The sequence below is a fragment of the Homo sapiens genome, chromosome 7 (genome assembly GCF_000001405.40).
Source record: "Homo sapiens chromosome 7, GRCh38.p14 Primary Assembly".
NCBI lineage: Eukaryota > Metazoa > Chordata > Mammalia > Primates > Hominidae > Homo > Homo sapiens.
In genome coordinates, this window is record NC_000007.14 from 69,118,600 (window position 1) to 69,142,345 (window position 23,746).

The 23,746-nt window shown below is 42.5% G+C and overlaps 1 long non-coding RNA gene and 1 pseudogene across 1 annotated transcript in view, besides 1 other annotated feature; one reads left to right on the plus strand and one right to left on the minus strand.

Annotated features, from left to right (window-relative positions):
- The window catches only part of LOC105375343 (uncharacterized), a 34,334-nt gene that overhangs the window by 2,730 nt on the left and 7,858 nt on the right, over positions 1 to 23,746 (minus strand). The window lies entirely within an intron of this gene.
- RNU6-832P (RNA, U6 small nuclear 832, pseudogene) lies at positions 6,671 to 6,775 on the plus strand (annotated as a pseudogene).
- Positions 12,882 to 13,287: a silencer, noted in NCBI's record as "fragment chr7:68596468-68596873 (GRCh37/hg19 assembly coordinates)". NCBI's record gives its function as "represses an EF-1alpha promoter that drives an FKBP-Casp9 reporter gene in an ReSE screen in both phorbol 12-myristate 13-acetate-treated (for megakaryocytic differentiation) and untreated K562 erythroleukemia cells {active_cell/tissue: K562 | K562(+PMA)}" and the evidence as "EXISTENCE:reporter gene assay evidence [ECO:0000049][PMID:32094911]".

Here is a 23,746-nt window from a genome sequence, read left to right on the forward strand (position 1 = left end):
ATCTCTGTGTGAGGCTAAAACAAGAAGAAAGAGCATTGCTTTGTTGCACCTCAGCTGGGAAATTGTGCCTCACATGCCTCAGATTTTTTTTTTTTTTTTTTTTTTGAGATGGAATCTCTCTCTATTTCCCAGGCGGGAGTGCAGTAGTGCGATCTCAGCTCACTGCAACCTCCGCCTCCCGGGTTCAAGTGATTCTCCTGCCTCAGCCTCCTGAGTAGCTGGGGTTACAGGCACACACCACCACGCCAGGTTAATTTTTGTATTTTTAGTAGAGACGAGGTTTCACCATGTTAGCCAGGCTGGTCTCGAACTTGTGACCTCGTGATCCACCCACCTTGTCCTCTTAAAGTGCTGGAATTACAGGAGTGAGCCACCACACCCAGGTGATGCCTCAGGTTTTTAACTGCTTCACACGCATCTGCGAATGACCATGAAAGCGCAGGAAGTATTGGTTTAGGGGACTACAAATGAATTTTAGCACGTTGGTAAATTTGTGAATACAGAATCTGCACATAATGAGGGTTGACTGTAATTTTACGTTTTTTTTTTTTTTTTTTGAGACAGGGTCTCACTTTACCACCCAGGCTGGAGTGCAGTGGCATGATCTTGACTCACTGCAGCCTTGACCTCCCAGATTCAAGCAATCCTCCCTCCTCAGCCTCCCAAGTAGCACACCACCATGCCTGGCTAATTTTTGTATTTTTTTAAGAAACGAGGTTTCGCCGCCACGTTGCCCAGGCTACAATCTTGAACTTTTCTATTAAATTGTAGTGGATGGTATCCATGTAAAAGTAATTTTATTTATTTTAATTTTTAATTTTTAATTTTTTTTTTTTGAGACAGTGTCTCACTCTGTCACCCAGGCTGGAGTGCAATGGTGAGATTGTAGCTTATAGTGGCCCCAACCTCCTGGGCTCAAGAGAGCCTCTCTCCACAACGCCCCCAGTGGCTGGGACTACAGGTACATACCACCAGGCCCAGCTAATGCTAGTTTTTCTTTTTTGTGGAGATGGAGTCTCACTATGTTGTCTAGGATGCTCTTGGCCTAGACCTGGCCAAGTGATCCTCCCACCTCAGCCTCCCAAAGTGCTGGGATTACAGACATGAGTCGCCATGCCCATCCTAAATGTACTTTTGTATGCTCAACAGTGTTCACCCCAAAAAGGTCCTCAGTATATCTTTGATAAACAATTGAACGACTGAATGTAAAGTTAATACCCTATACCCAATAATAGGTGATGGTTTATGGATAAGACAATTTGGAAATAAGATAAAGAAGACCAGGCAGATTCCCTCTAATTCTTTCTCAGCTTTCACCATCAAAACCAAAGATGAATAAGCCCTTTAGAAAAATGTTGGCAGAGCGTGGTGGCTCACGCCTGTAATCCCAGCACTTTGGGAGGCTGAGGTGGGTGGATCACCTGAGGTCTGGAGTTCAAGATCAGCCTGGCCAACATGGCAAAACCCCGTCTCTATGAAAAATACAAAAAAATTATCCAGGGGTGGTGGTGCGCACCTATAATCCCAGCTAATTAGGAGGCTGAGGCAGGAGAATTTCCTGAATCTGGGAAGCAGAGGTTGGAGGGAGCCAAGATCATGCCATTGCACTCCAGTCTGGGTGACAGAGTGAGACTCTGTCTCAAAAAAAAAAAGAAAAAGAAAAAAAAAGAAAAAGAAAAATGTTAAAGCTCATGATATTGCCTCCAGAACCTATGGGACAGGCTGAGCAAGAGTGCACATAGAGCAGTTTCCAAGCAGTTTCTAAATGACAAAATAGGTTACATACCTATGAAAATGGTAAATCATTGTTTAAAGATCAAGACAGATTTTCTCAGTTTATGAATGGTGCTAGTTTCCAGTCTACAAAGGCATGTGTTAACCCAAAATATCTAAGACAGATCTCAGTCAATTTAGAAAGTTTATTTTGCCTAGGTTAAGGATGCATCTGTGACACAGCCTCAGGAGGTCCTGATGGCATGTCGCCAAGGTGGTCGGGGGCACGTCTTGGTTTTGAACATTTTAGGGAGACATGAGACATCAATCAATATATGTATGATGTACATTGGTTCGGTCCAGAGAGGCAGGACAGCTCCAAGTGGGGAGGGGGCTTCCAGGTCATGGGTAGATAAGAAACAAATGGTTGCATTCTTTTGAGTTTCTGATTAGTCTTTCCAAAGAAAACAATCAGGTATGTATTTATCTCGGTGAGAAGAGGGGTTACTTTGAATAGAATGGGAGGCAGGTTTGTCCTAAGCAGATCCCAGCTTGACTTTTCCCCTTAGCTTAATGATATTGGGGTCCTAGGATTTATTTTCCTTTCAAACAAGTATTACACAGACTGTAGCTTGTTACCGAGGTATATTAACTGTCAGGAAATGTGTTAACTACAAGCTTTAGTGCTAGATTGTCTGTCCACAAATCACATGATCAGTGAATGATTCTGTCACTCCTTTCAAAGCCCGTCACTGCACATCTGTTATTCAGTTCACACACAGACAGCAAAGTGTGTAGGCGTGTTGCCTCCCTGTCTAATCCCAGTGTTCAATCCATGTGACATTTTATAAAAATGGATAAGTGGAAGAGGGAGTTGGCCAGCAAAGATCAAAGTGTAGCAAAGAAACAAAAGGTGATAATACTGGGAATGAAATTTGATGGTAAAATAAATGGAGTTATAAAAGTAGCAGCTGACCATGGAAATGTTCATGCTGCAGCTGATACCTTAGACACCCAATCAGAGAATTAGTGAAGGCGAGCTCATCAACATAAATGAAGATTTATAAAAAGAATGAAGGTGTCCCAGAAGAAGTGGTGCCAGTGGTAAACAACTTCGCATTAAAGGAACTCTCAGAGATATTTCCCAAAATTGAAAGCACAAAGAATAGAACGTTGAAAGCTGATTCAGCCTTACACCACAGTATGACAGTTCACCAAAATGTTCACTCCGTGTCATAAGTTGTAAAAACAGAAGAAGGCAAGCACTGTTGAAACTACCCTTGAGATATATTTCACAAAGAAATCAAGATTTTAGTTCCCTATATTTCATTCATTTAAAATTTCAGTGTACTAAATAAATATTCATTTTTATTTTTAAATTTTTCTATACATTTATAATTGACAGTAAGAAAGTTTTTAAAGTTCTGACTTTTAAAGTTCATGAAACAATCATAATTTTTCCCATTGATTCTTTTTTTTTTTATATGGAGTCTTGCTGTGTCCTCCTCGCTGGCGTGCAGTGGCAAAGTCTCAGCTCACTGCAACCTCCACTTCCCAGGTTGAAGTGATTCTCCTGGCTCAGCCTCCCAAGTAGCTGGGACTACAGGTGCATGCCACCACACCCGGCTAATTTTTTTGTATTTTTAGTAGAGATGGGGTCTCGCCACGTTTGCCAGACTGGTCTCAAACTCCTGGCCTCAAGCCCTCCTCCTGCCTTGGCCTTTCAAAGTGCTGGGATTACAGGCATGAGCCACCGCACCAACCAATAGCCTTTAAAGGAGCATTTGGTTATACAAAAGAAAATCTAGATGAAAGAGACAGGAACAGGGAGGATAAATTTATCTTCATTGGTTAAATGCATTTTCCTTAGTTAAGGCATTCTGGCATAAGATTTATTTATTTATTTTTAAGAGACAGGGTCTTGCTCAGTGACTCATGCTGGAGTGCAGTGGTACAATCATAGCTCACTGTGGCCTCCAGCTCCTGGGCTCAAGTGATCTTCCTGCCTCAGCCTCCCGAGTAGCTGGGACTCCAGGCATGTGCCACCACACTGAGCTAATTTTTATTTATTTATTTATTTATTTATTTATTTGTAGAGATGGGGGGTCTCACTACATTGCTCAGGCTGGTCTCAAACCCCTGGCCCCAAGTTATCCTCCTGACTTGGCCTCCCAAAGCACTGAGATTACAAACGTGAGCCACCACATCTGTCCAAAATTATATATATTTAGTGCTAAGACATTTGAAGATTTCACTTGGCAGGCTCAAAGAGTTTTTTACACGTTGTTGAGGCAGCTACAGATAGTATTAGCAGGTGTTGGCTCTAAGGAGAATGAAGCTTTCACAAAAGAACATTCAGCTGAAACCAAGGAGAACTATAGCTTTTAAGGGAATTTCTGGGGTGATGGTTGGCCATTAAATTTTAGGAACAGCAACTTCTGCTGTTTATTTTGAAGTCATTTTCTGCCCTGTGCTATCATTTTCCTCTGTCCCCCAAGCCAAAGTTCTCTGGTGAAGTCACTTGCGGGTTGGTGGTGCTATGGAGTTGAAGGAGAGGCACCTCCTTTCACATTTGGTGTGCAATCATAAGAAAGATACAGCATTTGCAGACAGCCAGCGATGTGTTGGGGACTTGGCAGTCAGAACCATCTAGCATGCCCTGCGGAGGTTGGGGGAATACCAGATTCACTGCAAAGAAGCAGGATAGAAGCTTCATTTATATGATTTGGCTAATACAGGAAGGTGTGACCTCAGAAGGCTAGAGAAATGAGACACTCGAGTTGCCGGCTGTGCTCCCTGCAGAACATCTCCTAATTGAGATTGTTGCTGGCAGCCTGGGCCCCTTTTCAATGGTCTGAACGTCTACACACCTGCCCTGCTTCTTACCAGATTCACACCAGCTTTACAGCTTAGATATTCCACCTGCCACCCGCCAGGGCCAACTGCCTCTTTCCTGCCTGCTCAGGGAAATCAGCCCAGATCCCCTACGGCAGCCACCACATGGGAAGACTGTCCTCAGTTTTTGGCTCAGGCGAGTATGCACTAATCTGTGTCTCCATCCCCAATCCACAGGATCCCCAAGGAGTTTAATCCACTGCAGCTAACCTGTGCATCCGAGGAAGAAGGCGACATCTCTGAAAATCCCATGCCTTGTTCCTTATTTCCCAGTCTCTTAAAAATCCCCTGATCCCCTGAATTCAGCTAAATCTCTCTCCATCAGAAGATTTGTTCCCTGTGGTCTGTAATCCCAGCACTTTGGGAGGCCAAGAGGGGCGGATCACCTGAGGTTAGGAGTTCGAGACCAGCCTGGCCAACATGGAGAAACCCCGTCTCTATTAAAAATACAAAAAAAAAATAAAAAAAAATTAGCTGGGCATGCTGGTTCATGCCTGTAATCCCAGCTACTCAGGAGACTGAGGCAGGAGAATCACTTGAACCCAGGAGACAGAGGTTGCAATGAGCCAAGAGCTCACCATTGCACTCCAGCCTGGGCCACAGAGTGAGACTCTGTCTCAAAAAAAAAAAAAAAAAAAAAAAAGATTTGTTCCCAATAGAACAAGCAAATTATCTTGAAAAAGAAGCCACAACATAGAACACAGCAGTTTGAAAAGAGATGTTCATTCATTCATTCACTGAAGAAAGGTTGCTAAGCTGCCACTATGCATTAAGTGTGAAGACATGATATTGATTTTAAAAAAGATACACAAAATACAGTCAGTCACTGCTGCTCTTTTGAAGTGACGTCCAGAGGAGGTTAGTCCAATTATCTTGCAGCTGATGTATGTACAAACTGCTGTCAGTGTCATGAAGGGAAGGAACTCACTTCTTTGAGAGTTTTTTTTTTTTCTTTTTTTTAGACAGGGTCTCCCTCTGTCACCCAGGCTGGAGTGAAGTAGCAAGGTCATAGCTCATTGCAGCCTCAAACTCCTGGGCTCAAATGATCCTCCTCCCTTGGCCTCGTGAGTAGCTGGTACTACTACAGGCACACACCACCACACCGGGCTAATATTTAATTTTTTTTTTTTTGAGACAGAGTCTTGCTCTGTCACCAGGCTGGAATGCAGTGGTGCTATCTCAGCTCACTGTAACCTCCACCTCCCGTGTTCAAGCGAATCCCCTGCCTCAGCCTCCCAAGTAGCTGGGATTACAGGTACGCACCACTACGCCTGGCTAAGTTTTTGCATTTTAGTAGAGAAGGGGTTTCACCATGTTGGCCAAGATTGTCTCGATCTCCTGACCTCATTATCCACCTGCCTCGGCCTCCCTAAGTGCTGGGATTACAGGCGTGAGCCACCGCACCTGGCCTAATATTTAAATTTTTTGTGAAGATGGGGTGTAATTATGTTGCCCAGGCTGGTCTCAAACTCCTGATCTCAAGCAATCCTCCTGCCTCGGCCTCCCAAAGTGCTGGGATTAAGGCATGAGCTATCACACCTGGCCTCTGGAAGTTTTTAAGAGAAGAGTCTGGCCTGGCCTGGGCAGCCATGAACCACTTCCCTGATGGGATGTAGTGCTGGGGAGATCTGGGGATCAGTAAGAGAAATCTAGGCCAAGAGGCAGAGATGGGAGAACAACATGCCTCAGGAAGGCAGGCAGGTACATATGGATCGAGGGAATAGAGAAAATTGTGGGAGCCATAGGACTCCAGGGTGTGGAAAGCATGCGGTATGAGAGGCAAGACCATGCACAGCCCCTACAGAGGCCACATACACGAGAAGAGACTTAACACAGCCTTGCTCTGTAACCGAACCAGGGTTCAGCTGCTGACCACTTGAAAGCCTTACACAAGAGACAAGAATTTGTGGGAAGAAAAGCTGGTTTATTTGGAGAGCAAGCAAAGAAAGAAGATGGTGGACTATCATCCCAAAGTACCATCTTGAGTCACAACCAGTTTTAGGCTCTTTTTATGTTAAGAGCAGGGGGAAGGGGGGCGGCTAGGATCAAGATGTAACTGACAGTGCTTGCTTCGGCAGCACATATACTAAAATTGGAACGGTACAGAGAAAAGTAGCAAGGCCCCTGGGCAAAGATGACATGCAAATTCCTGAAGCATTCCACATTTAAAAAAATAATTTAAATTTTAAAAAGAGGTAACCGACCACCGCAGATATCTGGGCACTAGTGAGGGTCCAAGGAGGTTGGAAACTTCTCTGTCCTTGGTCAGGTCACAATGCTCATATAAATTTTACAACAAAACAGCTAGTTGTTGACATACTTCTCCCTTAATCCCAGAGTTAGTTTTTAAAACTACATGATTGCTGTGTGTGTGTGTTATTATCCCAGTGTTCTAAAATTATCCTAGGCTACGTGCAGGAATGAGTAAAGGTCCCTTAAACAAAAATGTAGTTAGTTATGTTTGTTCTTTTACTGTTTCTCTGCTGTAGTTCAAAGATGGCTTCCTAATGAAATGAAGCTCCCAGGACTCATACCCTCATGCAATCGCCGTTCCTCAAATCTCAACAGGCCTGTGACTCTGCATGGCTTCTGAAGCTGTCATAAGAAGCCTTGGCCGGGCACGGTGGCTCACGCCTGTAATCCCAGCACTTTGGGAGGCCGAGACAGGCAAATCACGAGGTCAGGAGATCGAGACCATCCTGGCTAACATGGTGGAACCCTGTCTCTACTAAAAATTCAAAAAATTAGCCGGATGTGGTGGCGGGCGCCTGTAGTCCCAGCTACTCGGGAGGCTGAGGCAGGAGAATGGTGTGAATCTGGTAGGCAGAGCTTGCAGTGAGCCGAGATCGCACCACTGCACGCCAGCCTGGGAGACAGAGCAAGACTCTGTCTCAAAAAAAAAAAGTCTTGTGGCTTCCACTGGGAGATCTTGGAAAGTTTACACTGTAAGTGCTTTGCAGTTGGCTACCCCAGGTTAACATGAAAAGAGAGTGTTGCCCAGCTAACCCATGTAGCTCTGCTACCCCCACTGAGACAGCAGACATATCAGAGAAGAGCTGAACCTTCAGATGACCCCAACTGTAATCAGTATCTAAATGCAAAACTGTTTGAGAGATTCACAATAGCAAAGAAATGGAATCAACCCAAATGCCCATCAATAATAGACTGGGTAAAGAAAATGTGGTACATATACACCATGGAATACTACAAAGCGATAAAAAGGAATGAGATCATGTCCTTTGTAGGGACATGGATGGAGTTGGAGGCCATTATCCTCAACAAACTAACGCAGGAGCAGGAAACCGAACACTGCATGTTCCCACTTACAAGTGGGAGCTGAATGATGAGAACACACGGACACATGGGGAGAACTGCACACACTGTGGCCCATCATGAGAGTGGGGAGAGGGAGAGCTTCAGGAAGAATAGCTAATGCATATGGGGCTTAATACCTATGTGATGGGATGATCTGTGAGGCAAACCACCATGGCACACATTTAGCTATGTAACAAACCTGCACATCCTGCACACGTACCCCTGAACCTAAAATAAAAGTTGAAGATTTAAAAAAAAACTTTTGGCGAGACCCCAAGTGAAAACCATCCAGCTGAGCCCAGTTCACCCACAGACCTGTAAGAGCCAAATAAATATTTACTTTAAACCACTGCATTTTGTGCTGGTTTGTTCTGCAGAAGTAGAGGAACAAACTTCGTGCCTGGAAGTTGGCGCTTCCAAAAAAAGAAGAAAGAAAAAGAAAATATTAAAACAAGGGTGAAGACATACAAATGTGCCAGTGGATCAATAGGGTTGCCCGTTTCACATCTTGAGAATGAATGCTGCCCAGACAGCCTCAAAGGCACAGAGCCTGCTGGATGGAGTTTGGCTCCTGTCCACCTGTTGAATTTCTATAGTCTTTAATTTGTCTGAGTCATGTGTTTTCCTGACTGACACCGATAGTTCAGTGTGTCCTTCTGGGCACAGTGCTATAAAATTGCAGTCGAGTTGATTAATAAGGTGTCTCTATTCCCCTCTTTCCTTCACTGCCATTTACAAGAAAATAGCGTGAGTGAGTGGCAGAATATAGCCCTGTCAGGATCCTGCCTTCACAGAAATAAAGAAAAATGTGAAACTGTCAAATCTCAAGTGTTCTATATCCAAAGGAACATTACTGCATCCTCTCTGGCATCCCTCAACATCCCATAATGCTCCTATCAGTGAAGAAAAACAATAGCGTGATGTGCAGATGCTTCTTCTGAGTTTATTTTTATTTGGTTCGGTAATAACCAGAGTGATTTCTGAATCCCAATAAGACAGCTACACACAGTATTCTTGTCTTTCCTTTCAGACAGAAATATAGTTTATTCACCACGCCAGCCACACTAAAATGCCCAGAAAGTTTCACATTGGTCTATGAAAGAATTCTAGTGTCATTGGCAGAGATTTTAGGTGTTATCTAATCTACCTAGTAACCGGATTCATTGATTTCTTCATTCAAAAATTTGCTATTGAATACCCACTATGAGTCAGGCACTGTGATTGACTAATCCACTTTTTCCTCTTGTGGTTGGTAACTGTGGTCGGTAACTGTGGTCTGTAAACTAAAAATGAACGCCGAAGCCCCACCTCCCCGCCTGCTGCCCCAACCTACTGAACAAACTCTCTTGGCCAAGGGGACCCCAGAAAAACCTTAAAACTGAGTTCCCAACCACGATGGGATGGGGGCGTCAGACATGCCTCATAATACATGCCCTTTTGCAGTTCAGACATGGCTGACCAGCACTAATGTTAAAATAGAGACCACGAGACTGACAGAACAGATTCTTTGTGGCAATAAGACACCAAATTCTAAACAGGATCTAAGGTCATATCAGGCAGGGTTAAGTCAGACACCCCTACACTTCAAGAATGAACTACATTCTAACGGCCACAAGGTTTTTATTTTTCTCTAGCAGCTAAACAAGCACTGACCTTGGGATAAGTATTATTAAAATAATTAGCTCACCACCAGACACTAACTGACCCGCACCCCCATTCCACCAGTCACAACTACAGCTTTGATTGGACAAGAGGCTGCTTTCTGTATCTTTCTCCTGACAAGAAGACCACTAGCCATGAGCTGGTTCCAGCTGGTTTACAGAGGCTGCACACTTGAGTAGCTCCATATCCCGAAAAGATGTTTTGACATTTAGAGGCTAACTGTAATATGTTTAAGTGCTAAGTCTCCGCCACCGTGTGAACATGGGTCCTATGTTAGATGTACGTTTGTTCAATCCACATATATTAGGACCACCTTCATGAATATTCATAGCTCTTCCTTAACCTGTTGAATATGTATGTTTAGCCAACCTGTTCGTCATAAACTCCTGCCCTAGCTCCTCCTCCTCCTTTGACGTGCCTATCTATGGTCTGGGCCAAAGGCTATGCTTCCCAGCATATGCGATGGCCATCTTGCAGGATGTAATTCTTTACAAGAAATAAAGTCTTCTCTAAATTTATAAATTTGTGATTTTTTTTTAAGTTAACAGGTCTTAGCCTACAGAGCTTTATTTACTTTGGAGTTCTGGCAGAGCTACCTCTGAGCCAAGGTTTGGGCATGTGATAATCTGTGTGTTTCTATTGCCCAGTCTTCCAGAATGGTGTTGGTGCTTTTTTTTTTTTTTTTTTTTTTTGGAAACTTGGTTGTCCAGTTCTTTCTTCAATTCCAAGACATATTTTCTATTCTTTCAATAAACTTTTTCTTAGTTGAAATTACCTGGAGTCCATTTTTTGTGGCTTACAACTAAGCAACACCAACTGATACAGTTCTACTTACAGCTGAGATGGCATTTGTTTTCTCCTAAACTTCATCCAGTTTCAAATAAAATAGACAGCTCTATAGGTGTCTGTCTTAACCACCTTAGGTGTTGGTGCCACCTCTATGCAATGGAAGAAATCAGTTTTGACCCTGAAACCTTAAGTCTTGAGTATCTGTTCTCTGCTAGGCCAGATGGGGAAGTCCAAGTTGAAGACACAATGCGTGTGCACATCTAATCTGCCCTAATAGACTGTAAACTCCTTGCTGTGAGAGACTATGGCTTGTTCAATTTCATATCCTTAAAAATGGTGATTCCTAAGCATGGATGCTTCAAGGGTAGTAGATGTGGTTTTTGAGACTCATCAGAATATAGACAGTCATTAGATGGATGGAAGTCTTAGAAACAGATAACAGTATCTTGGGAAATTGGAAGGGATTTGTATTAGTTCATTCTCACATTGCTATAAAGAAGTATCTGAGACTGGGTGGTTTATAAAGATAACAGGTTTAATTGGTTCACAGTCTGTATAGGCTGTACAGAAAGTACGATGCTGTAATCTGCTCAGCTTCTGGGGAGGTCTCAGCAAACTTACAATCATGGCAGAAGGCAAAGTGGGGTGCCAGCATTACACATGTTGGGAGCAGGAGGAAGAGAGAGGGGGGAGGTACCACACACTTCTAAACAACCGGATCTCATGACAACTCATTATCACAGTGACAGCATCAAGGGGGAATGGTGTTAAACCACAGAAACCACCCACATGATCCAATCACCTCCCACCAGGCCCTACCTCCAACACTGGGGATTACAATTAGACATGAGATTTGGGCAGGGACACAGCTCCAAATCACATCAGGATTTAAAAACTAAACCCGGGGTAATATCAACATTTAAGATAAAGAAAGACGTGGAAAGAAAAGCCGGCAACAGAAGCAGAGAAAGGAATCAGAGAAGTAAGAGCCAAGGGTGTTAGCACAGAAGTCAGTGGAGACCCAGGTTTTGAGAACCAGGCCATGGCCAACAGCACCACGTGCTGCAGAGAGTCCAGGCCAACTGTGCACTAAGAAGAGTTCAAAGAACTCAGCAACAAAAAAACCTCTGATGATTCCATTCCCAGCAGAGCGATGAGAACAAAAGCCAGCTTGCCCCGGTGGACACGCAGAATTGAGTCGTGACGATGACCCCTTATTGTGGTGCTTAAAGGGAAGAAGAAAGAGGGGGCAATATTTTGTGTGGCAAAAAAATGAGACGGAGAGGAGCTCTGGCTGTTCTTTGTAAAGGCTCAAATAATTAAATGAATTATTGAATGAATTATTATCTTTCAAAAGAAATGCCCTCACTAATGGTGAATACCCTGCACACCACTCAACCCCAAATTCCATTTTAAAATCATAAAAGTAATTGGCACTTGGATAGGACTTTGTAGTTGACAATGCATGGGTTAGTACTCTTTCTCTCTGGTGTTTAAGCAAAAGTGATTTACTCAAAACCCCAAACCAAGAATAGTCTTATATGGAATCTCCAACAAACTAAGGCTCTAAAACCCTTCCTTTGATCAGGGACTGAGAGCACTTGAAAAGAACACTGTGTAATCCTCCCACTCTCCGCCTCAAAAAAAAAAAAAAAGCAACAAGCACTGATGCAAATAGCAAGTGCTTTGAACTGAAAATCACACAATGGCAGGGGAGCATCAAAAGTGCCCACATGAAGGTTTTCTCTAATGGAGACAAAGACAAAAAAACCCGCTTCCTAACATGTTCAATAGGGCTTAGAGAGTAAAGCCAATGCCATTTTTATGCTATCTGGATGCCAAAAGTTTTACCCATATAATAATGCATGTTTCTAGTTATTTTATTCTATTTTTTAAATGCCTCTTAACATTACATGACAAGATCACGCATCTTTAGGTTAACATAATAAAGTAGCTCAGTGGCTATATTCTGTATTCCATCCTTTCTGCCCAATAGCCAGTCAATTTCTTCAGAGACGAGACCTTGTCTACCTAGTTCACATTATAGTCCCATGTCATAGCACCATGCCTGACATGTCATAATTTTGTTCAATTAATGAATGCCTTAGCTAAGCCCTCATCATCCTTTGCCTGAGTAATTATGTTCTCTAATGAATGCCTCTGCTTCCATTCTCCCTCCTGTATCAGTTATCTATTGCCTAGTAGCAAATCATGACAAAATTCAATGTCTTAAAACAATAGTAATCCTTTCTTCTGCCCTTGAATGTGCAATTTGGGCAGGGCTGAGCAGGGTCAGCCCCTCTCTGTCCCATGTGGAATTCACTGAGAATGAAGGATCCACTTTCAAGACGGTGTAGTCCCGTGGCTGGTAGTTAACACTGACTGTCAGCTGGGAGCTCAGCCCTGGCTTTCAGCTGGGGTCCTGAATTTCATTCCTTGTGGCTCTTTCCACAAATGCTTGGGCATCCTCATGGCATGTTGGTGAGTTCCAAGAACAAACATACCAAGAGGCCTAGGAGGAAGCTGTGTTGGGTTCTGTGATCTGGCTTGGGAGTCTCACAGTATCATAAGCCTGCCCAGATCTACTCAATGGAAGGAATACCCAAGTCACATTGTAAGAAGAGCCTGTTGGATGTCTGATATGGTTGCAGCCATGTATACAATCTCCCTCATTCTTTTTAACCATCTCTTTCAATGCTCCTACATGATTTTTTAAAACACAAATCTGATTGTGGTTAACTGTCAACTTAAAAACATCAGCTGTAGGCCAGGCGCAGTGGCTCACGCCTGTAATCCCAGCACTTTGGGAGGCCGAGGCAGGCGGATCATGAGGTCAGGAGATCGAGATCATCCTGGCTAACACGGTGAAACCCCATCTCTACTAAAAATACAAAAAATTAGCCAGGCATGGTGGCAGGCGCCTGTAGTCCCAGCTACTAGGGAGGCTGAGGCAAGAAAATGGCATAAACCCCAGAGGCGGAGCTTGCAGTGAGCTGAGATTGTGCCACTGCATTCCAGCCTGGGGGACAGAGTGAGATTCCATCTCAAAAAAAAAAAAAAAATCCATTGTTCCTAAGAACAAATTCTAGGCCAAGCACAGTGGCTCATGCCTGCAATCCCAACACTTTGGGAGGCTGAGATGGGAGAGCCCAGGAGTTCAAGACCAGCCTGGACAACACAGTGAGACTTCATCTCTACAAAAAAATTTAAAAATTAGCCGGACATGGTGCTGCACACCTATAGTCCCAGAAACTTGGGAGGCTGAAGCAAGAGGATCATTTGATCCCAGGAGGTTGAGGCTGCAGTGAGCTATGATCCTCACTGCACTCCAGCCTGGGTGACACAGTGAAACCCCATCTCAAAAAAATAAATAATAATAATAATAACAACAACAGCAAACCATGGAGGACACACAAATCTTCCATGACCTGGTGCCTGCAGCCCCCTGAGTTTCACCTCCTACATGACCCCCCAGAGCCACATCAGTTACACACTTTCCTCACATGTTCTTCCTGCTACCTCCAACAGGTCATTTCAACTGTCTCATCGGGTGCACGCTCACTTGGAAAAGATGAGTGATCATCCTTATCCTCACTGTCCTTTCTCTATTGCCTTCTGAGGATCACCCAGAGAAGGCTTCCACTGGACTGAGTACTCTCCATTTTAAGTAATCATTTCTTTTTCTTTCTTTTTTTTTTTTTTTTGAAACTAAATCTTGCTTTGTCACCCAGGCTGGAGTGCAGTGGCATGATCTCGGCACTCTACAACCTCTGTTTCCCGGGTTCAAGCCATTCTCCTGCCTTAGCCTTCTGAGTAGCTGGGATTACAGGTGTGCACCACCACACCCAGCTAATTTTTGTATTTTTGGTAGAGACGGGGTTTCCCCATATTGGCCAGGCTGGTCTCGAGCTCCCGACCTAATATGATCTTCCTCCCTTGGCATCCCAAAGTGCTGGGATTATAGGCATGAGCCACTGTGTCTGGCTAGTAACCATTTATTTTTCAGTCTGCCCTTGAAAATGATCTTGTGGAGTGAACAAACCTTGTTTAATTCATGTATATATCCCAGGACCTCACCACAATAATTGTTATCAATAATTGCTATCACGGTGTTAAAGGATAAAACTGAAATACAGAGAGTAAGTAACTTGCTCAATATCCCATAAATGACAGAGCTAAGATTTGAATTGAAGTCTTTCTGGGTCTAAAGCCCTCGCTCCCCGCAGAAAGGGACCGATGTGGTCTTGAAAGTACTATTAAGGTAATGAAGGGGCATCATGGTGTCTTCAGCTCTCAAAACTAACAAAACAAATGTAAAAGACAAATTTAAAACCAGCATAAATATAGACAATAAGCAAAAAAAAAAAAACAAAAGGCCACAAGGCTTACGTCAAAAACCTTTTTGGGTGTTATTTTGTTGTTGTTGCTTGAGACAGCATCTTGTTCTGTCACCCAGGCTGGAGTGCAGTGACACGATCATAGCTCACTGAAGCCTCAACCTCCTGGGCTCAAGTGATCCTCCCACCTCAGCCTCCAAGTAGCTGAGTCTACAGGTATGTGCCACCATGCCTCATTAATTTAAAACATTTTTTTAGAGGTCGGCGGGGGTGGGGGGGGGTCTCACCATATTGCCCAGGCTGGTCTCGAACTCCTCACCTCAAGTGATCCTCCTGCCTTGATCTCCCAAAGTGCTGGGATTACAGGCATGAGCCCACACACCTGACCCATAATCCTTTTTTGAAAGTCTAGAAATAATGTCTAAGAATTAGTGCTTCTCATAGCCATCTTCTCCCCAAAACCAGAACAGAATAAAGATGGTCAATGGACAAAATCCTAAGATAGCTCATGAATACCTCAATTTCTAGAGAAGCAGGCAGAGGGTATGTGTAGGCAGTTGGGGTGAAAAGGTGTAGAAAATGCTTCAAAGACTGAAGCCCTCCCCCATAATCTCGGTGTCTCACCTTTGTTTTTCCCTGGTGGAGAGGAAAGCCAGAGAGGAATGGAGAATGATTATAATTGCACAGAGCTAATTACCTTCAGCAATAACAGGGAGTTTGCGATGCAGTCACGAAAATAAATAAGACGTCCTGAGGGAAGGAGAGGCGTGGAAGGGAAAGAAACACACAGAGACTCAGTTCTGTCCCCCTCTTCCCACAGGTCAAAACATTGAGCCCCAAAGCCCCATGTTTCGCCTTCTGTGTCTTCCACAGACGGCGAGTGGTGAAAAACAGCCCCTGGGGAGAGATGGGGGAAGTCAAGGAAGAGGCTCACTGGGACCCAACATTGGTTCAAAGGGAAATTTCGGACTCTGCCTGGAATTGGGGAAACGGCTCAAATGGTCCGAGAGTGACCTTGGTGAGAGCCGTAGGACAAGACTTTTTAACAAACTTGAGGAAGAGAGAGCAGAAAACACCCACTCACCATAATACCCCACATCCCCAGCCTGCTTACCTGCGTGAACTCTCTCTCCCTCTCTCCCTTTCCCTCCCTGTCTCCCCTTTACTTTCTCCCTCTATCTCCCCCTTTCTCTTTTTCTCTTTCTCCCTGTCCTTCTCTCTCTCCCTTTTTCTTTCTCTCTCTCTCCCTCCCTTTCCCTCTCTCTCTTCCCTCCCTCTCTCCCCTTTACTTTCTCTCTCTCTCCCCCTTTCTCTTTTTCTCTCTTTCTCCCTGTCCTTCTCTCTCTCCCTTTTTCTCTCTCTCCCTCCCTCTCCCTCTATCTCTGTCTCTTTTTATCTTTATTTCTTCCTCTCTCTATCCCTTTCCCTCTTTCCTCCTCTTCCTCTCCCCCCCTCCCTCTTTTACTTCCTCTCTGTCTCTCTCCCTGTCTCTCATCTCTTTCTGTTTTTCCTCCCTCTCTCCCTCTCTTCCTGTTTCTCTCTCATTTCTACCTCTCTCTCATCTCTCTCCCTCTCCCTTTTTCCTCCCTCTTTCCCTCTTTCTCTTTCTGTCTCTCCCTTATCTCTACCTCTTTCTTCCTCTCCTCTCTCCCCTCCCTTCCTCCTTCACTCTCTACCTCCCTCCCTCTCTCCTTCTCCCTCTCCTTCCCTCTCTTTTCCACCCTTTCCTTGACCTCACACTCTGCAATCTCAGGCAAGGAGAAGATAAAAAGATACTAAGGTCAAGGAGACTTGACCCAAACTCTATTAGGACAATACCTGTAGCCATGTTTAACATGAGCAAATAGGGAATAAAGTCTTAGCACTAGCACTTGTGCTAAATAACTAGCAAAGAATATATATCAAAGGAAGAAAAGCAGCATGAAAAATACAGGCAAAGACACTTTACAACTGGTGTAGTGACTCACACCTGTAATCCCAGCACTTTGTGGGGTCGAGGCGAGAGAATTGCTTGAGCCCAGGAGTTCCGTACCAGCCTGGGCAACATAAGGAAACCCTAATTCCTACAAAAAATAGAAAAATAATTAACCAGGCACAGTGGCGCATGCTTGAAGTCCCAACTACTCAGGAGGCTGGGGTGGGAGGATTGCTTGAGCCCAGGAGGTTGAGGCTGTAGTGAGCCATGATTGTGCCACTGCACTCCAGCTTAGACGACACCCTCTCTCCAAAAAAACGACACTCTTCAGGTCTCTTGCTTTAGGATTGGATAGATATCCTGGGAAACGTTTCACTATGAAACAAGTAGATGCTGGGTATCCCACAGCAAATATAGCTCTGAATGCACAGAAAATTTCACAAGAAATTAAAGAAGGTTTCCAGGGATCGAAATGAAATAGGAGCTCATGCCAGAGTGGTGAGTACAACCATAAGCCAAAGCTGCCCTGGGGTGCGTGCGCTGGTGTCCGTATCCTGGACTTGGGTTTTGATGGCTTGGCCAGGAATAAGAGACCAAGTTTTCCATACGTCCTTGGTGAAGCATTGGAACTGAGACTCCTTACATCAGTGAGGACCCCACAAGAGCTATGCCTATAATACGAAGCTGAGCTAGGGAAAAAAAAAAATCCTTCCTCAAGCAAAGGAACCCAAAACAAACGCAAACATGTTTGTCTTGGCCAAGACGGTGAGTAGAGGAGGTCTCCTCTGAGAATGTGTAATCAAGCCCTGTCCTTATGTGAGTATGGTGTTGAATTTACTCTCTGATTGCTCCAGGAAACCCAAGGTAAGTGACTAGACTGAAGACGCACCATGCTGATAGCAGTCCTAAGAGAAAGACCTAAGAGAAACCAACACAAATCCTGTTGTAGAGGAAATCATTTCTATCCCAGGCTCTTCAGGAATCTCAAATAGAAAAGCCAGTCACATATGAGTTCACAATCAAAAATCATAAAAGACATGAGGACAAAAGTCACCTTCCTCAAGAGCCAATAAGATTAATATACAATACAGTCTCAAGAACCAAGAACTTTTAGTGTTAGAGTTATCAGATACAGATTGTAAAATAACTGCATTTAAAATATTTAAATAGGCCAGGTGCGGTGGCTCACACTAGTAATCCCAGCACTCTGGGAAGCCAAGGCGGGCAGATTGCTTGAGCCCAGGAGTTCAAGACCAGCCTGGGCAACATAGCAAAACTTTGTCTCTACCAAAAAAAAAAAAAAAAAAGCAAAAATTTGCCAGGTGTGGTTGTGGGCAGCAGTAGACCCAGCTACTAGGGTAGAAGGATAGCTTGGGCCTGGGAGGTCAAGGCTGCAGTGAGCTATGATTGCATCCCTGCACTCCAGACTGGGCAACAGAGAAAGAGAGAGCCTGTCTCAAAACAAAACAAATACATCAATATAAATAAATAAATAAAACATTTAAAGAAATAAAATGTATAATAAAAAATGACTGCAAATTTAGAGGCTCCCAAAATAACCACTGTAGTATTTGTGGTATAGTGGTTAGCATAGCTTCCTTCCAAAATAACCATATAACTTTAAAAAAAAAATAGAACTTCTAAACATGAACTATAAAATCATTAAAATTCAGAATTCAATGTGGTTTAAAGAGCTGAATGAACACAACTGAAAAGAGAATTGACCAGGTGTGGTGACTCATGCCTGTAATCCCAGCACTTTGGGAAGTGGATTGCTTGAGCTCAGGAGTTCAAGACCAGCCTGGGAAACATGGCAAAACCCCATCTCTACAAAAAATACAAAAACTTAGCCAGGCATGATGGTGCACACCTGTAGTACCAGCTATTTGGGAGGCTGAAGTAGAAGGATCTCTTGACCCCAGGAGGTTGAGACTTCAGTGAGCTGAAATCACACCACTGCACTCCAGCCTGGGTGACAAAAAAAGAGAATTAATGAACTGAAAGAGATTACCCAGAATGTAGCACAAAGAGACGAAGAAAGAATAATTTGGTCTAATATACACCTAATCAATGTTCCAAAACAAGAAAGCATATAGAACACAGAAGAGAAAATATTAAGAGAAGTGATGGCTGAGAATTTTAAAAAAATAGTGGAAGATGTAAATCTTCAGATTTAGATACTACAACAAATCTAAAGCAGGAGCCATAAAGAGACTATTGTATCAGTCTGTTATTGCATTGCTATAAAGAATTACCTGAGACTGGGTAATTTATGAGAAAATAGGTTTAATTGGCTCATGGTTCTATAGGCTGTATAGGAAGCATGGCTGGCAGGCCTCAGGAAACTTACAGCCATGGCAGAAGGTAAGGGAGAAGCAGGCACATCTTCACATGGCCAGAGAAGGAGGAAGAGCGAGAGAAGGGGCAGGTGCTACACACCAGCTCTTGTGAGAACTCACTCACCATCACGGGAACAGCAAGTGGGAAATCTGCTCCCTGTGATCCAATCACCTCCCACCAGGCCCCTCCTCCAACATTGGGGATTATAACTTGACATGAGATTCGGTCAGGGACACAAATCCAAGCCATATCTACCATCCAAGATACAGCATAGTAAAACCACAGAACACCAAAGGAAAAGGAAAAAAAAAACAATCTTTTTTGGCCAGTGAGAAATGACAGTTTCTCACTAATTAAACCACCGCCAGAAATCTTTAGCAACAACTATAAAATTCAGAAAATTATAGAATAATAACTTTAAAGCACCAAAAGACTCTCATTTTTTCTAATGTGTCAGCACTAAGCAAGTCTAAGAACTTTAAATATAATTTTATAAAATGGACATAAGAAGATGGCCCAACGAGAACTAAATTGGAATTTTTTTTTACTGGTTCATCAAGATGGGGGCTTACATTTAAAAATAAATATAAAAATAATAGGATGTGCTATTTCTTACCCACCTTCCCCCACAAAAAAAAAAAATTTAGAGAAAATATACCTAGCTAAACTATCATTCCATCCAAGATATAACATTAACCAATGACAAAGTCAAGAAATTCTGAGAGCCTGTGACCAACAGGTCCTCACTAAGGAACTATCCAAAGAATATACTTCAGGAGAGAGGAGATGACCTAGAAGGAGAGTCCAAGATTCAAGAAAAAATGGTAACTAAGTAAAGCAATAATCACATCAGAAGATCTAAAGCAAGTGTTGACAAACTATGGACCAAATCCAGTACATTGCCTATTTTTGTAAATAAAACTTTCTTGAAACACAACCACTCTTATTTGTTTATGGTTTTATGGCCGTTTCTGTAGTACAACAGCAGAGTTGAGTAACTGTGACATAGACCTTGTGGCCAGAAAATCTGTCCCTGCACAGAAAACTTCTGCTGACCCCTGATCTAAAGCATTTGCAAAACAACTGATTTGTGGGTTAAAAGAAAAAAAATCAGCATAAAATTAAATATTGATCTACAATAATATGTAAAACAGAGGATAAGTTATTTAAAGTATTCTAAGGTCTATGATTGTTCAGAGATAGAAATATTCTATTTAACTTTGGTCTCTAAGTTACTTAAGCATATCAAAATTTTAAGGGTACTGACTAAAAGAATAGAATAGGTCAAGTGCGGTGGCTTACGCCTATAATCCCAGCACTTTGGGAGGCCAAGGCGGGCAGATTACTTGAGGTTAGGAGTTCGAGACCAGCCTGGCCAACATGGTGAAGCCATATCTCTACTAAAAATACAAAAAAATTAGTCCGCAAGCCTGTAGTCTCAGCTACTCGGGAGGCTGAGGCAGGAGAATCTCTTGAACAGGGGAGCTGGAGGTTGCAGTGAACTGAGATCATGCCACTGCACTCCAGCCTGGGCAACAAAGCAAGACTCTGTCTCAAAAAAATGAATAAATAAATAAAATAAAAGAATAGGATAGAGTGAAAACTTCCAAAACAATAGAGAGGACAATGAAACTTACAAATACAATCAATCCAAAAGAAAACTGAAAAAGAAAATCCATAAAGCACAGAAAAGGCAGATCAAATAGAAAGCAGAAACTATAATGCAAGAAAGAAGATTAAATATATCAGTAAATGTAATGGAGTGACTAATATTTTCCAGTAAATAGAGAATGTCAGATTGAGTTTAAAAATACACACACACACACACATACACACACACACACCACACACACACACATATATACTAGTATACAAATGAGAGTTTGAAAGGCAAAAAAAATCTGGCATAATTTACTGATATCAGAGAAAATAAACTTTAAAGCAAGCAAGTATTATTATGAATAAAAAGGATTGCTATCATGATCAAAGGTTTGCTTCCCCAGGAAGGTAGTTTTATATTTGTTCATGATTAGTAGCACAATCTCATTTATAAGATAAAAATTACAGAACTACATGAGAAATTGTCAAATCCTTCAACAGAATGGAATAGGAAAACACACCTTTCCTAGGAATAAATAAAGCAAGCAGTAAATTACGGAAGGGTTGAACTACACAATTAACAAGCTTGACCTAATGAATATGCGTATGTGCGTCCCTGCACCAAACAATTAGGGGAATCATATTCCTCTCAACCACTCATGAAACATTTATAAAAACTGACCACACTGTAAGTCAGAAAGTTCTTTAAATTTTTGTAGGACTGGCATCTAATAGACCACATTCACCAAAATTTAATGGTTAGAAATCAGCAATAAAAAGGTAACTAAATCCCATGCATTTAGACATTTCAAAAACATACCTTAAAAAGATCTTTTTATTCTGAAAATCACAAGCACACTTTAATTCGTGGGTCAAAGAGGAAATTAGCATGGGAGTGTTTCACTACTTGAGACTGAACCATAATAAAATCTTATACATTTAAAGTGTTAGTATGCACTAAAGCAATACTCATAGGGAAATGTATAATCCTAACTGCTTATATCAAAAAGATAAAGAGTAAAAATTAATGATCAAATCATCTAATGTAAGAAGTTAGTGACAGAACACAGAATAAACTTGAGGAAAGTAGCAGGAAGAAAATAATAAACATAGAAATGCCAGGGCACGGTGGTTCACGCCTGTAATCCCAGCACTTTGGGAGGCCAAGGCAGGAGGTCAGGAGATCGAGACCATCCTGGCTAACAGAGTGACACCCCGTCTCTACTAAAAATACAAAAAATTAGCCGTGCGTGATGGCGGGTGCCTGTAGTCCCAGCTACTTGGGAGGCTGAGGCAGGAGAATGGTGTGAACCCGGGAAGTGGAGCTTGTGGTGAGCCGAGATGGTGCCACTGCACTCACTCCAGCGTGGGTGACAGAGTGAGACTCCGTCTCAAAAAAAAAAAAAAGAAAAAAAAAGATGAAAGGAATGAAGTCTAAAATAAAGATACAATAGATACAATAGAAAAAATTGTCAAAGCCAAAAATAGCTTCTTGGGAAAGACACAGAATGAAAAATGCTACATGATTTCACTTACATGTGAAATCCAAAACAAACAAACAAACAAAAACAACACTTGAATATGTAGAAATAGAGAATAGAACAGTGGTTACCAGGGGTGGGGGAGTGGGGAGATGGGGAGATGGAAGTCAAAGTGTACAAAGTTACAGTTATACAGAATGAATAAGTCTGGAGAGCCGATATATAACATCAAGACTGTAGTTAATAGTATTGCACTGTATACTGAAAATTTGCTAAGAAGGTAGATTTTAGGTACTTTCACCATGAAAAATAGCTAACTATGTGGGATGATGAATATTTTAATTTGTCTGTAATAATCATTTTACTATGTATATGTATATCGAAGCATTTTGTACACCAGAAATATATACAATAAAAAAAATAAATATTCCATTGAGAGCATTTAAAAAAAAAGTGGGGGAAAGGCATCATATCATGATTTTAAAAGGCATAACTCAAAGCGAACAGGCTGAGCGCAGTGGCTCATGCCTTTAATTCCAACACTTTGGGAGACCAAAGCGGGAGGATCGCTTGAGGCCAGGAGTTCAAGACTAGCCTGGGCAACATAGCAAAACCCTGTCTCTACAAAAAAATATTTTTTTGAGACAGAGTCTCATTCTGTCACCCAGGCTGGAGTGTGGTGGTGCTATCTCGGGTCACTGCAACCTCCACCTCCTGAGTCCAAGCAATTTTCCTGCCTCAGCCTCCCGAGTAGCTGGGATTACAGGCACCTGCCACCAAGCCCCACTAATTTTTATATTTTTGGTAGAAATGGGATTTCACCATGTTGGCCAGGCTGGTCTCAAACTCCTGATCTCAAGTGAACCGCCCACCTCAGCCTCCCAAAGTGCTGGGATTACAGGCGTGAGCCACTGCTCCTGGCCCTCTGCAATAATTTTAAAAATTAGTCAGGTGTGGTGTCACATGCCTGTAGTCCCAGCTACTCAGGAGGCTGAGGCGAGAGGATCACTTGAGCCCAGAGTTCAAGTCTGCAGTGAGACGTGATTGCACCATTGCACTCCAGCCTGGGAGACAGAGTGAGAACTTGTCTCTTAAAAAATATTTTTAATTAAAACAAATTTTAAAAGAGAACAGATTAAATAAAGATAACAAGAAAGATGATGTACATAGTAAGAAAACCAGAAACATCCTAATATCTAAAAACAGAAGAAGAAATGGACATTGTCTTGGGGGGAGAAAGTTTATCCAGGTCACTCAAGAAGAAAGAGGAGACTTGAACACTCCTGAAATAACTAAACAGATTGAATCTGTACCTTATCCAATAACAAAGAACAAACTCACAGAAATGCCCCCAAATAAGTATATAAGCTTTTGGTTTTGTAAGTTTTTTTCTTTTATTCCTATTCATCACTTACAGTAAAGTTATTCATAGCCTATAAAGCTAAGATCTTCAGCTACCAAATCTGATGACTGGAGATTATCTGCTACCAAATCTGATAATTGGAGATTCAGGGAAAACTGCGTAACCAGATACTTCAAACTTCAAGAGAATCAGTCATTCGATCTCATAAACAGCATGTAAGTTCCCTAAAACAACAGAGTAAGGCATTGATGTTTAAGGAACTTCGACCCAACACTTGGGAAAAGTTGAGTTTCACGTTAAAGATGCGAAGAGTCAATGAGATGTTAAGTGGCCCAGA